Source organism: Homo sapiens, chromosome 16 (assembly GCF_000001405.40).
Source record: "Homo sapiens chromosome 16, GRCh38.p14 Primary Assembly".
NCBI classification, from domain to species: Eukaryota; Metazoa; Chordata; class Mammalia; order Primates; family Hominidae; genus Homo; species Homo sapiens.
In genome coordinates, this window is record NC_000016.10 from 27441640 (window position 1) to 27454566 (window position 12927).

At 52.7% G+C, this 12927-nt stretch overlaps 1 protein-coding gene and 2 long non-coding RNA genes across 8 annotated transcripts in view, besides 7 other annotated features; 1 reads left to right on the plus strand and 2 right to left on the minus strand.

Moving 5' to 3' along the window:
* IL21R (interleukin 21 receptor) overlaps positions 1–10403 on the plus strand; it is a 49869-nt gene extending 39466 nt beyond the window's left edge. For 5 of the 6 annotated variants that reach the window (XM_011545857.4, NM_181079.5, XM_017023257.3 and 2 more), the window contains 5 exons: positions 1323–1477; positions 2903–3080; positions 3538–3637; positions 4368–4449; positions 6895–10403. In XM_011545857.4, the coding sequence (XP_011544159.1) occupies positions 1323–1477; positions 2903–3080; positions 3538–3637; positions 4368–4449; positions 6895–7644 (1265 nt within the window). In that variant the 3' untranslated portion in view covers positions 7645–10403. The remainder of the gene's footprint in view (positions 1–1322; positions 1478–2902; positions 3081–3537; positions 3638–4367; positions 4450–6894) is intronic. The other variant, XM_047434180.1, reaches the window with a different exon arrangement.
* Positions 1016–3696, minus strand: LOC124903668 (uncharacterized). Its single transcript, XR_007065031.1, has 2 exons — positions 3564–3696; positions 1016–1472 (listed from the first exon to the last, which is right to left on the minus strand). It is a non-coding gene; the product is annotated as an uncharacterized LOC124903668 (long non-coding RNA).
* Positions 6030–11754, minus strand: IL21R-AS1 (IL21R antisense RNA 1). Its single transcript, NR_037158.1, has 3 exons — positions 11458–11754; positions 11104–11283; positions 6030–8167 (listed from the first exon to the last, which is right to left on the minus strand). It is a non-coding gene; the product is annotated as an IL21R antisense RNA 1 (long non-coding RNA).
* Positions 7007–7066: an enhancer, noted in NCBI's record as "active region_10626". NCBI's record gives its function as "activates an Ori minimal core promoter by ATAC-STARR-seq in GM12878 lymphoblastoid cells {active_cell/tissue: GM12878}" and the evidence as "EXISTENCE:reporter gene assay evidence [ECO:0000049][PMID:35858748]".
* Positions 7367–7606: an enhancer, noted in NCBI's record as "active region_10627". NCBI's record gives its function as "activates an Ori minimal core promoter by ATAC-STARR-seq in GM12878 lymphoblastoid cells {active_cell/tissue: GM12878}" and the evidence as "EXISTENCE:reporter gene assay evidence [ECO:0000049][PMID:35858748]".
* Positions 7869–8746: an enhancer, noted in NCBI's record as "H3K4me1 hESC enhancer chr16:27460829-27461706 (GRCh37/hg19 assembly coordinates)". NCBI's record gives its function as "activates a minimal SCP1, AML or CMV promoter by ChIP-STARR-seq in naive H9 embryonic stem cells {active_cell/tissue: H9 hESC(naive)}" and the evidence as "EXISTENCE:reporter gene assay evidence [ECO:0000049][PMID:30033119]".
* Positions 8407–8566: an enhancer, noted in NCBI's record as "active region_10628". NCBI's record gives its function as "activates an Ori minimal core promoter by ATAC-STARR-seq in GM12878 lymphoblastoid cells {active_cell/tissue: GM12878}" and the evidence as "EXISTENCE:reporter gene assay evidence [ECO:0000049][PMID:35858748]".
* Positions 8587–8636: an enhancer, noted in NCBI's record as "active region_10629". NCBI's record gives its function as "activates an Ori minimal core promoter by ATAC-STARR-seq in GM12878 lymphoblastoid cells {active_cell/tissue: GM12878}" and the evidence as "EXISTENCE:reporter gene assay evidence [ECO:0000049][PMID:35858748]".
* Positions 8977–9126: an enhancer, noted in NCBI's record as "active region_10630". NCBI's record gives its function as "activates an Ori minimal core promoter by ATAC-STARR-seq in GM12878 lymphoblastoid cells {active_cell/tissue: GM12878}" and the evidence as "EXISTENCE:reporter gene assay evidence [ECO:0000049][PMID:35858748]".
* Positions 11162–11261: an enhancer, noted in NCBI's record as "active region_10631". NCBI's record gives its function as "activates an Ori minimal core promoter by ATAC-STARR-seq in GM12878 lymphoblastoid cells {active_cell/tissue: GM12878}" and the evidence as "EXISTENCE:reporter gene assay evidence [ECO:0000049][PMID:35858748]".
* Positions 11755–12927: the final 1173 nt, after the last annotated feature.

The window sequence follows — 12927 nt, forward strand, 5'->3', positions numbered from 1 at the left end:
TTAGAACAGAAATGGAAAATGAATGGATTTGCCAGCACGTTGCTGAGAACATTTTTGGATGGGTTGCTAACTTTAAAACTTAATATAGGCCAGGTGCAGTGGCTTGTTCTTGCAATCCCAGGATTTTGGGAGGCTGAGGTGGGAGCATCACTTGAGGCCAGGAGTTTGAGACCAGCCTGGGCAAAGATAGTGAGACCCCATTTCTACAAAACAGACAAATAATTAGCCAAGTGTGGTCGCATCCACCTGTAGTCTCAGCTACTTGGGAGGCTGAAGTGGGAGGATGGCTTGAGCCCAGGAGGTTGAGGCTGCTAGTGAGCTATGATCGCACCACTGCACTCCAGCCTGGGCAACACAGTGAGATCCTGTCTCTAGGGGGAAAAAACCCTTGGAGATTTCACATGATAATTCCAGGGGTCTCCCGTTTCCCATTCTGCACCTCATATTGAAACTTGCCCTTCAGTGCATAGAAAGCAGGGTTTCAGATTTCATGTGTGTGCGTGTGCATTTGTGTGTGTGCATGCTGTGCGTGTGCATGTGTGTTGCATGTGTAGGCATGCGTTTGGGTGTGCATGTGTGGGCATGCATGTGTGTGGGTGTGCATGTGCACATGTGTTTGTGTATGCGTGTGTGTAGGCATGTGCGTGTGTGTTTCCCTAGAAAACTTAGAAAAGCTGACCACTCTGTGCTGCTGGGGCCATTCACTTTTAACTCTTTTATTTATTTATTTTTGTTCGTTTTTGAGATGGAGTCTCGCTCTGTCGCCCGGGCTGGAGTGCAGTGGCGCAATCTTGGCTCACTCCAAGCTCTGCCTCCCGGGTTCACGCCATTCTCCTGCCTCAGCCTCCCGAGTAGATGGGACTACAGGCGCCCGCCACCACGCCCGGCTAATTTTTGTATTTTTAGTAAAGATGGGGTTTCACCGTGTTAGCCAGGATGGTCTCGATCTCCTGACCTCGTGACCCACCTGCCTTGGCCTTCCAAAGTGCTGGGATTACAGGCATGAGCCACTGCACCCAGCCAGACTGTTTTATTTCGTCACAGTCCCTAAACCTGCTTCACTCCTCTCTGTGACCTGCCCGCCCCTGAGTTTGCAATCCTGATCAGGTCTAAATCTCCCAGGTCCCAGATGAATAAACTGAAGCCCAGAGTTGGGAGTACTTTGCCCAAAGTCACTCAGGGTTGTTGGTCTTCATCTCATCCATGATGGGTCAGGCATGGAGGCAGGGGTGGGGGCAGGCAGGACTTCCTCCCATCACCAAATCCTTTTCACCTGCAGCAAATTCTCACCCCATTTTCTTTTCCTGGGTTTTTCCACCAAGTCAAGCCGGCTCCCCCTTTCAACGTGACTGTGACCTTCTCAGGACAGTATAATATCTCCTGGCGCTCAGATTACGAAGACCCTGCCTTCTACATGCTGAAGGGCAAGCTTCAGTATGAGCTGCAGTACAGGAACCGGGGAGACCCCTGGGCTGTGGTGAGGAATGTGGGGATCAGTGCAGCTTTGTGGGAGGGGAGGGGAGATGACGGAGTGCAAAGGCATCTGGGTGGGAGAGACGGGTGAACAACATCATTCATGGCCAAGAACAGAGACCAAGGGCACGAGCACTCCCTTACAGCGGGCCCTCCTCCTCCCCTCACTTCTCCCCAAGGTAGGAGACCCCTGAATAATCTGTCCTCCCCAAACTGGTCTCCTCGGCGGTCAGCATGCCAAAGAGACTGTCCCTTCCCCAGACTCCACCCCAGGTCTAGCATAGTCACAATAGAAGAAGTTTCAGAAATGGGGCAACCTGGAAGCTTCCCAATTGCTTAGAATGGCCATAGTTGGAGAGTTCCAGAAATATCAATTATTAAGAAGGTCCAGCCAGGTGCGGTGGCTCATGCCTGTAATCCCAGCACTTTGGAGGCCAAGGCAGGTGGATCTCTTGAGGTCAGGAGTTTGAGACCAGCCAGGGCAACATGGTGAAACTCTGTTTCTACTAAAAATACAAAAAATTAGCCAGGCGTGGTGACATGCACCTGTAATCCAGCTATTCTGGAGGCTTAGGCAGGAGAATCACTTGAATCCAGGAGGCGGAGGTTGCAGTGAGCTGGGATCGCGCTACTGCACTCTAGCCTGGGCAACAGAGTGAGACTCGATCTCAAAAAAAAAAAAAAGGTCCAGTGTTAGAGGGCCCATTGTTTCAAACATGAAGGTGTTGAGTGATGTCCTTCCAGCCCACTATTTAGAACAGTCACAAGTGATGTACTGTCTCTAAAAAATAAAAAATAGTAACAATGATAGAACAGTCACAGCTGAAGAGTTCTAGAATTGCCCATCCTTTAGGATAGTCCCAGCTGAAGATGTCCATGAGTGCCATACTTTAGAAAGTCCCCAGTGGAAGACTTCCAGAGGTATCCATTGCTAAGATGTCTGTAGTTAGAGTTCTAGAAATGCCTGCTGTTGGGAATGTCAGTATGTCAACTCTTGGAATTCTTCAACAGTTGAAGACATTCTCCACTGATGTACTGAGACTTATATCAGTAGTACATCGGTTGAGAATGTCCTCAACTGTTGAAGAATTCCAAAAGTATGCATTGCCTGGAATGCTGCCAGACCATTACCACTCCTGAGATATGCCCAGTCCTGCAGGGAGAGTCCACTGCCAGGACTGTGAGTGGCTGAATTGGATCAAAGAGAAATCAAACAGAGCATCCTATCACATGCACGGGCCAGGCAGTGCTGGTGAGTCTGTGCTCCCCATGCCTGAGTCCAGCTACTCAGGCATAGGCTTGATTCTTGTGGGAAGAGAAGAGACACTCAGCCCCTTTGATGGAAGCTGGGAAAAGAGGTGGCTCTGCTGGAGGCAGGGGCTGGCCTGGTTTAACCCTGACCTGGTGCATCCTTTCCTTGTACTGGCAGAGTCCGAGGAGAAAGCTGATCTCAGTGGACTCAAGAAGTGTCTCCCTCCTCCCCCTGGAGTTCCGCAAAGACTCGAGCTATGAGCTGCAGGTGCGGGCAGGGCCCATGCCTGGCTCCTCCTACCAGGGGACCTGGAGTGAATGGAGTGACCCGGTCATCTTTCAGACCCAGTCAGAGGGTAGGTGTGAAGCTGGGATGGACACCCCACTCCTGGTATCAAATTTTGTCCTGTTCTAGCCACCCTAAGCCCTGAGCTTTCTGGCACAGCTGGGAGGTATTCAGTTGTTCATCCTCAGATGTAGCCCTTCAATTACATTTCTAGAGCCCCTGCTGGCCAGGCCCTGTTGGGTGCCAGCTGCTTCTTCTGTTAGGCATTTGATCCCCCTAACTCTGAAGTGGGAATCAGCCCTGTTTTTCAGACGAGATAACTTAGGCTCAGAGAAATGAAGTTACTTGCCTGGGGTGAGGAATGAGAACAAGATTTGAACCCAGATCCATCTCACTTCAAGACACTAGCAGTAACAGCCTCTCCTACCCTCTTCCACTCTACCCCAGACCCATTTCCCACCATGCCCACCCCATATGGCCTCTGGTAGAGTTGGTGCCATTTAACCCTTTCTTTGCTTCCTTCCCAGAGTTAAAGGAAGGCTGGAACCCTCACCTGCTGCTTCTCCTCCTGCTTGTCATAGTCTTCATTCCTGCCTTCTGGAGCCTGAAGACCCATCCATTGTGGAGGTGAGGCCAGGGGATGAGGAAGGCAGGGAGGTGGTCAGCCTGGGCCACTGCCCCTGTATGATACATGCAGGGTTGGAAAACATGACTGTCATCATGGTAACAATGATGATGATGGGATAATAACCAACTCACAGCCACCATGTGCTGGACACTGTGGAGGGCACTCCCTTCACCCCCATGGCTGCCCTATGAGCTTGAGACACTGCAGTTGCCCTTATTTTACAAATGGAGAAACTGAGGCAAGGAGATGTCAAGGACAAAGTCACACAGCTCCAAGGTGGAGAAATTGGGATTGAAAATCTGTGCCCTTAAACAGGGACCTCAGCTGTGATCTTGTCCAGTGGATTTTAAGCTTTGAGGCTTAATGGGCTTAAGGGGCCACTAGGTGGTGGTGAAGAGGTGGCTGTAATAGTCCACACCTCTGAAATGGCCTCTCTGCGCACCCCTGGTTGCAGATAAAGAAGTTGAGGCTCAGAAGGGGCAACATTTGCCCAGCACGCAACAGGCAGCCAAGAACATAACCACGATATCCCTTCAGGAGCCTGTGAGGGAGACTTACTTCTCCCATTTTACAGAAGGGGAAACCAAGCCCCAGGGAAGGAGGGAGGCGCCTGGGCTGAGTCTTGGGATGCTCGGAAGCTCCTGTAGGATGAAGCTGGGGAGCGTCCGAATGGGAGGCCAGGCTGCCCTCTGGTGATGTCAGGGTCCTCACCCCTCTCTGCCCCCTCAGGCTATGGAAGAAGATATGGGCCGTCCCCAGCCCTGAGCGGTTCTTCATGCCCCTGTACAAGGGCTGCAGCGGAGACTTCAAGGTGAGCTCCCGACCCTGTGATGAGCTCCTCGGAGCCCCTCCTCCTCTTCAGGAGCCCCACCTCCCCTCACCCCAGGCTCCCCAGCCTCACCCCACAGGCCTAGAGCATCCAGGTCTCAGCCAAGCCACAAGCCAGGCCTCAGTTTCCCCATGTGCAAAGTGTAGACAGTCATTCTTGTGGTGCAGAATTGGCAGAAGAATTAAACAAGATTTGACCAGGTGTGGTGGCTGACATCTGCAATCCCAGCACTTTGGGAGGCCAAAGCAAGTGGACTGCTTGAGGCCAGGAGTTCAAAAACAGCCTGGGCAACATAGGGAGACCCTCACCACCACTCCGCCTCCCCATCTCTACCAAAAACTTAAAAATCATTCAAGTGAGGTGGTGCACGCCTGTAGTCCCAGCAACTCGGGAGGCTGAGGCAGGACGATCGTTCAGAGGCTGCCGTGAGCTATGATCACACCACTGCCCTCCAGCCTGGCCAACAGACAGAGACTATATCTTAAAAAAAAAAAAATCAAAAAGAAAAAGTAAACAAAATAATGCAGCATTGGCCCAGCCCAAGGAACCAGACTGGGATAGGGGGTGAGGCTGGTGGTCTCCTGAGTCACAGATTGCCCCACTGGTCCTTTCTTAGGTGTCCTTAATCTGGGTTGGAGAGGGAATAGGTTCTGGAAAGAGCCTGGCCCACGGGGCAAAACACACTAACATTTGCCAAGCCTCCAACTCACCACCACCCGCCAGCACCCACAGGTTGTCTGTGCCCATTTACAGCCGTGTCACCCACCCTGCAGCAGTGGGAGTGGCTGCCACAGAGAGGATGTGGTGACAGAGGTGGGAGGGCCAGCCCCACCTGCTGCAGCCCAGCCTGAAAGTCAGACAGTGTAGACCTAGACCATTGATTGAGCTCCTGCTGTCTGCCTGGTGCTGCGCTGGACACCCTTCCTGCCTCACTCATTCTCATATTCACAGCAGCCCCTGCAGAGTGGATGTTCCACTGCCCCCAGGGCACCCATGAGGAGGCCAAAGAGTGGGCAGGGAGGAACATGGACCCCAACCCACATAAGACCCACCCTTTCCTCTTCCCTAAAGCTCAAATATCACATTGATTTTGGGTTGATTTTTACCAATACTCATATAGCACTTGCTATATACCAGGCAGTCCCCTAGGAGCATCACAAACAGTGACTCATTTAATCCTCACGACGGCCCTACGGGTGGGTGCTATTATTAGGTCCATTTTACAGATGAGGAAACTGAGGCACCGAGAGGGTAAGTAATTGGCTTAAGGGCACACAGCTGAGAAGCGACTTTGAATCAGTGGTGGTGGCCACATCACAGTTCTGAGATGAGTTTTTGAGGAAGATGAGCTCAAAACAGGGAGATACCCATTCCTGGGGATTTTCCTTGCCAATTGCATGAGGATTCTGGTGTCGTGAGTGGGAGTCCTGGCAGGGGAGGGAAGGGGAGGGTCCTTCAAGTTTAAGGGCCACCGCCTCAGCCAGCATCACCCACATCCTTTATCCTCAAAGTGTACAAAGGCCTTTCCAAGTGGCTTTTCATTGATCCACTCCACCCATTCATTTCGTTAATAAACATTTATTGAGCACCTACTTTGTGCTAGGCACTGGGGCTACAGCCATGGACAGAAGAGACAAGACTTATGTCCGGGGGCCAAGTGTCTGTCTGGTGGGGACACATAAACCAGGAGAGTGCTAGGTTTCAAGAAGCATCAAGGAGGCGGGAAAGCAGGAGATGGCTCAGGGGTACCTCAGACCTCAGGCCCTCCTGCCCCCATGTCTCCTTGACTCAGGAATCTTGGTCCCTGCCTGGACTATGGGGCCACCAGTTGTCTGACTGGTCACACTACTAAGGGTAGCAACTCCCTTCTACAAGTAGGGAAACTGAGGCCCAGAGTAGGAGGGGGATCCACTAGGGTGGGAGCACATTGTGGTCCTGATTCCTCTCTCTCTCTCTGTCTCTCGGTGTCTTTGTCTATCTTCATGTCTCTGTCTGTCTCTCTTGATGTCTCTTTGTCTTGTCTCTGTGTCTGTGTCTGTCTTTCTGTCTGTTTAAACCCTCACCTTGGCTGGGCACAGTGACTCACGCCTGTAATCCCAACACTTTGGGAGGCTGAGGCGGGTGGATCACCTGACGTCAGGAGTTCAAGATCAGTCTGGCCAACATGGTGAAACCACGTCTCTACTAAAAATACAAAAATTAGCCGGGTGTGGTGACAGGCGCCTGTAGTCCCAGCTACTTGGGAGGCTGAGGCAGGAGAATCACTTGATCCTGGGAGGCAGAGGTTGCAGTGAACCGAGATGGCACCACTGCATTCCAGCCTGGGCAGCAGAGCCAGACTGTCTCAAAAGAATAAAAGTAAAAGAAAAATAAACCCTCACCTTACCCTCATCCTGTGCTATGACTCTCTCTTTTTCTCTCTCACAGAAATGGGTGGGTGCACCCTTCACTGGCTCCAGCCTGGAGCTGGGACCCTGGAGCCCAGAGGTGCCCTCCACCCTGGAGGTGTACAGCTGCCACCCACCACGGAGCCCGGCCAAGAGGCTGCAGCTCACGGAGCTACAAGAACCAGCAGAGCTGGTGGAGTCTGACGGTGTGCCCAAGCCCAGCTTCTGGCCGACAGCCCAGAACTCGGGGGGCTCAGCTTACAGTGAGGAGAGGGATCGGCCATACGGCCTGGTGTCCATTGACACAGTGACTGTGCTAGATGCAGAGGGGCCATGCACCTGGCCCTGCAGCTGTGAGGATGACGGCTACCCAGCCCTGGACCTGGATGCTGGCCTGGAGCCCAGCCCAGGCCTAGAGGACCCACTCTTGGATGCAGGGACCACAGTCCTGTCCTGTGGCTGTGTCTCAGCTGGCAGCCCTGGGCTAGGAGGGCCCCTGGGAAGCCTCCTGGACAGACTAAAGCCACCCCTTGCAGATGGGGAGGACTGGGCTGGGGGACTGCCCTGGGGTGGCCGGTCACCTGGAGGGGTCTCAGAGAGTGAGGCGGGCTCACCCCTGGCCGGCCTGGATATGGACACGTTTGACAGTGGCTTTGTGGGCTCTGACTGCAGCAGCCCTGTGGAGTGTGACTTCACCAGCCCCGGGGACGAAGGACCCCCCCGGAGCTACCTCCGCCAGTGGGTGGTCATTCCTCCGCCACTTTCGAGCCCTGGACCCCAGGCCAGCTAATGAGGCTGACTGGATGTCCAGAGCTGGCCAGGCCACTGGGCCCTGAGCCAGAGACAAGGTCACCTGGGCTGTGATGTGAAGACACCTGCAGCCTTTGGTCTCCTGGATGGGCCTTTGAGCCTGATGTTTACAGTGTCTGTGTGTGTGTGTGCATATGTGTGTGTGTGCATATGCATGTGTGTGTGTGTGTGTGTCTTAGGTGCGCAGTGGCATGTCCACGTGTGTGTGTGATTGCACGTGCCTGTGGGCCTGGGATAATGCCCATGGTACTCCATGCATTCACCTGCCCTGTGCATGTCTGGACTCACGGAGCTCACCCATGTGCACAAGTGTGCACAGTAAACGTGTTTGTGGTCAACAGATGACAACAGCCGTCCTCCCTCCTAGGGTCTTGTGTTGCAAGTTGGTCCACAGCATCTCCGGGGCTTTGTGGGATCAGGGCATTGCCTGTGACTGAGGCGGAGCCCAGCCCTCCAGCGTCTGCCTCCAGGAGCTGCAAGAAGTCCATATTGTTCCTTATCACCTGCCAACAGGAAGCGAAAGGGGATGGAGTGAGCCCATGGTGACCTCGGGAATGGCAATTTTTTGGGCGGCCCCTGGACGAAGGTCTGAATCCCGACTCTGATACCTTCTGGCTGTGCTACCTGAGCCAAGTCGCCTCCCCTCTCTGGGCTAGAGTTTCCTTATCCAGACAGTGGGGAAGGCATGACACACCTGGGGGAAATTGGCGATGTCACCCGTGTACGGTACGCAGCCCAGAGCAGACCCTCAATAAACGTCAGCTTCCTTCCTTCTGCGGCCAGAGCCGAGGCGGGCGGGGGTGAGAACATCAATCGTCAGCGACAGCCTGGGCACCCGCGGGGCCGTCCCGCCTGCAGAGGGCCACTCGGGGGGGTTTCCAGGCTTAAAATCAGTCCGTTTCGTCTCTTGGAAACAGCTCCCCACCAACCAAGATTTCTTTTTCTAACTTCTGCTACTAAGTTTTTAAAAATTCCCTTTATGCACCCAAGAGATATTTATTAAACACCAATTACGTAGCAGGCCATGGCTCATGGGACCCACCCCCCGTGGCACTCATGGAGGGGGCTGCAGGTTGGAACTATGCAGTGTGCTCCGGCCACACATCCTGCTGGGCCCCCTACCCTGCCCCAATTCAATCCTGCCAATAAATCCTGTCTTATTTGTTCATCCTGGAGAATTGAAGGGAGGTCAAGTTGTTTGTCAATGATTTGTCAGAGAACCTGTTGAAATGTGAATTAAGAAGCTAAGAAAATATTTCTTAGCAACATTTTCTTTTTCTTTTTTTTTTTTTTCTTTTGAGACAGAGTCTCACTCTCGTCGCCCAGGCTGGAATGCAGTGGTGCGATCTCGGCTCTCTGCAACCTCTGTCTCCCGGGTTCAAGCGATTTCCTGCGTCAGCCCCAGAGTAGCTGGAATTACAGGCACACACCACCACGCCTGGCTAATTTTTGTATTTTTAGTAGAGCTGGGGCCACCCTGGCCCGGCCCCGTCTTCCTCCCCAAAGGTCAGACTGCAGGCTGCAGGGCTGTGCTGGAGGAGCCAGCTCTAGCTCACCCATGCTTTTGCAACAGGGTCGGGTTGGAAGTCAGCACAGGTCAGTCCTGCGGAAGGTTCCTTCGTGACTCATCTGTGAAGTGGGGTGGTTGGGAGAGGTAGCTGAGAGAATGCATGAGAGTCCTCGGTGCCTGGCAGGAGGCTGGAAGGTTCTAGAACACTGATGGTTATAAGAGTGGGACTGTGAGCCTGGGATCGGGGGGTGTGAGACTTGGATGGGAGCACAAGAGTGGAAACACAGCTTCTGCACGGAGCAGGCGCAGCCCTCAACACCCCGTGCACCTGCACCCTAGGGACTCTTGGGTCCAGATGTGCTGTGGTTTTCACACCTTCTTGGGGGCAACAGGTTCCAGGAGCCACCTGTGGGTGCCACCTGAGCCACAGGCTCCCAGGAAAGCAGCACAGCTCTCCTGCACCCAGAGCTTGCTGGGTGGCGGAGGGGAACACAGATGGTTGGGGAAGGCCTGAGGCCAGATTGGGGGACTCTGGACTGGGGCAGATGAGGCTCCTCAGAATCCCACCTTTGAAGGGAACTCAGCTTATAAACACAGAGGAGCAAAGTTGGAGGGCCGGGCGTAGTGGCTCACACCTGTGATCTCAGCACTTTGGGAGGCCAAGGAAGGTGGATCACTTGAGGCCAGGAGTTCGAGACCAGCCTGGGCAACATAGCAAGGCCCCATCTCTACAAAAATTATTATTTTTTAAAAAAATTAGCCAGGTGTGGTGGTGCTTGCCTATAGTCCCAGCTACTCGGGAGGCTAAGGTGGGAGGATCGCTGGAGCCCAGGAATTTGAGGCTGCAGTGAGCTGTGATTACACCGTTGCACTCCAGCCTGGGTCACAGATCAAGACCCTGTCTCTTAAAAATAAAAGTTGGAGACAAGAGCTGGCTCACCTGAAAGGAGGGATTAGTAGGTAGGAGGGTGGATGGAGGATGGATGGATGTGTGGGTGGATAGGAAGATGGTATTAAGTTGGTGCAAAAGTCTTTGATATTACTCTTAATGGCTTTAATAAAAAGCTTGAAGGAAGAATGATTGGTTGGATAGACAGAGATAAATGCATACTGGAAACAAAGATAAAGATAAAACACAAGTTATACCAGGCCAGCAACTCTATTTTGTTCACTGCCTTTAGTCCCAGCCTGGCACATAGTAGGCACTCAATAAAGCCTGATTTGTAGCATTTGCTTATTTCCATGGTGTAATTTCATGCTCCTGATTTGAGTCTAAACACAGAGTTGGGAAGAGATATGCACAATCTGCCCTCCTGGCTGGTATGAGTGAGTCCCAGCTCACCGATGGTAGCCCAGAGAGAACATCAAGAGGAGTAGGGGGCTTCAGGGAGGAGGTGGTGTTGGTTGGACTTCGAAAAATGAATAGGAGGCTGGGAGTGGTGGCTCATGACTGTAATCCTAGCACTTTGGGAGGCCGAGGCGGGCAGATCATTAGAGGTCAGGAGTTTGAGACCAGCCTGGGCAACGTGGTGAAACCCAGTCTCTACTAAAAATACAAAAATTAGCTGGGTGCGGTGGCGGGTGCCTGTAACCCCAGCTACTCAGGAGGCTGAGGCAGGAGAATCTGAGAGATGGAGGTTGCAGCGAGCAGAGATCACACCACTGCACTCCAGCCTGGGTGACAGAGCGAGACTACGTCTCATAAAAAAAAAAAAAAAGGAAAAATGAATAGGCGTTGTTACATGTACCAGCTATTTGGGGCAGAGGGAAGAGCTTGGACAAAGGCCTGGAGGTACGACCAAGGGTCAGGAGCAAGTGGGACAGGCGCTCCTCGCCCTCCAAAGACCAGGCCAGAATTGCTGACAAGACTCACTGAAGAGGAAGGGGGACCGATAGCAACGTCACTTTCCCAGCTGCCGCATTCCTCACCTTGCCGTCTGCAAGCTCTGAGGGGCAGAGTCATCCGTCTGACAGATGAAATGAAGGCACAGCTCAGGCTGGTGACCTGCCTGAGGTCACACACTGAATGAGTGGTCGGAGCTGGAACCAGAACTCTGGGCTTCTGATGCCACTTTCAGCTCTTTTTCACCTTGCTCTGCTGGAACGTACCTAGATCAAGAGGTGAGGAAGGTTTAGCAGACGCCGTGGGTGCCTGCTGCATCTGCCTGTGCAGCAGTTTGGAGACGTGGCTGACCCCAGCTCTGGGAGTGGCTATGTGAACCAGGCCTGCCCAGTAGGACATTTCTTCCCCCTGGCAACAGTACAGTTTAGGGACAGACATACCCTAGCTGGTCCATGCTCTCTTTCTGCTGGGATTACTAAGCTGTAAGGAGGGTACTGGGAGGGGCAGCAAGAAACACACAAGAAAGCAGAGCTGAGAGATGGTAATAGCTCTTGAGATCCCGGATCCAGCCATGCCTGAAACCACGTTTCTCCTGGACCGTTTAGATACATGAGTATGGAAGTCATTATGCTGTTCACCATATGCTGGGCACATGGCAGGATTGTACATCCTGACCCTCTGTAGCCAGATGGGGCCATGTGACTGGCTGGGACTGGGCAGTTGTGAGCAGAAGTGATAAGTCTCACTTCTGGGCAGAGCATTTTTCAGATGGCTACCACACCCCCTGGGGTGTTTTTCCTCTGTCACAGAGACAGATGATGATGGTGACTGCTCCATCTGCCTGGGCACCTGGGTCCTTGAGCAAGGAGATACGGACTGAAGTTTCAGTTCACTTGTGATAGACGTGTATCGTGAGCAAGGAATCAATCCTTTGTTGTTCTAAGCTGCTGAGATGGGGCTGTTTGTTACCACAGCATAACCCTGCCTACCCTAGCTGAATCAATGAGCTGATAAATTTCCTTTTTTGCTTAAGCTGGTTTGAGGTGGGTTTCTGTCCCTTGCAGCAGAAAGTGTTCTAGCATTATTCTGATATTATCCCCACAGTAAGGACTCTCCTTCTATCCTAAGGAAGGACCTTGTATTAGTCCTTGTGTCACTATAAAGAAATACCAGGCTAGGCTGGGATCACGCCTATAATCCCAGCACTTTGGGAGGCCGAGGCAGGCGGATCCCTTGAGGCTAGGAGTTCAAGACCAGCCTGGCCAACATGGCAAAACCCTGTCTCTACTATAAATACAAAAATGAGTCTGGCATGGTGGCACATGCCTGTAATCCCAGCTACTCAGGAGGCTGAGACACGAGGATCACTTGAATCCGGGAGGCAGAGGTTGCAGTGAGCTGAGATGGCGCCACTGCACTCCACGCTGAGCGACAGAAAGATCCTGTCTCAAAAAATAAAAAAGAGAAATACCAGGGTCTAGGTAATTTACAAAGAGGCTTAATTGGCTCTCAGTTCTGCAGGTTGTGCAGGAAGCATGGCACCAGCATTTATTCTGGGTGAGGCCTCAGGAAGCTTCCAATCACAGCAGAAGGCTAAGGGGGAGCCTGCGTGTCACCTGGCAAGAGTAGGAGGAAGAGAGCAAAGTGGGAGGTCCCAGACTCTTTTAAACAACCAGATTGGCTGGGCACGGTGGCTGACGCCTGTAATCCCAGCACTTTGGGAGGCCGAGGTGGGTGGATCACCTGAGGTCAGGAGATCGAGACCAGCCTGAGCAATATGGTGAAACCCCATCTCTGCTAAAAAAAAAAAATACAAAAATCAGCTGGGCTTGGTGGCTTGTGCCTGTAGTCCCAGCTGCTTGGGAGGCTGAGACAGGACAACTGCTTGAACCCAGGAGGCAGAGGTTGCA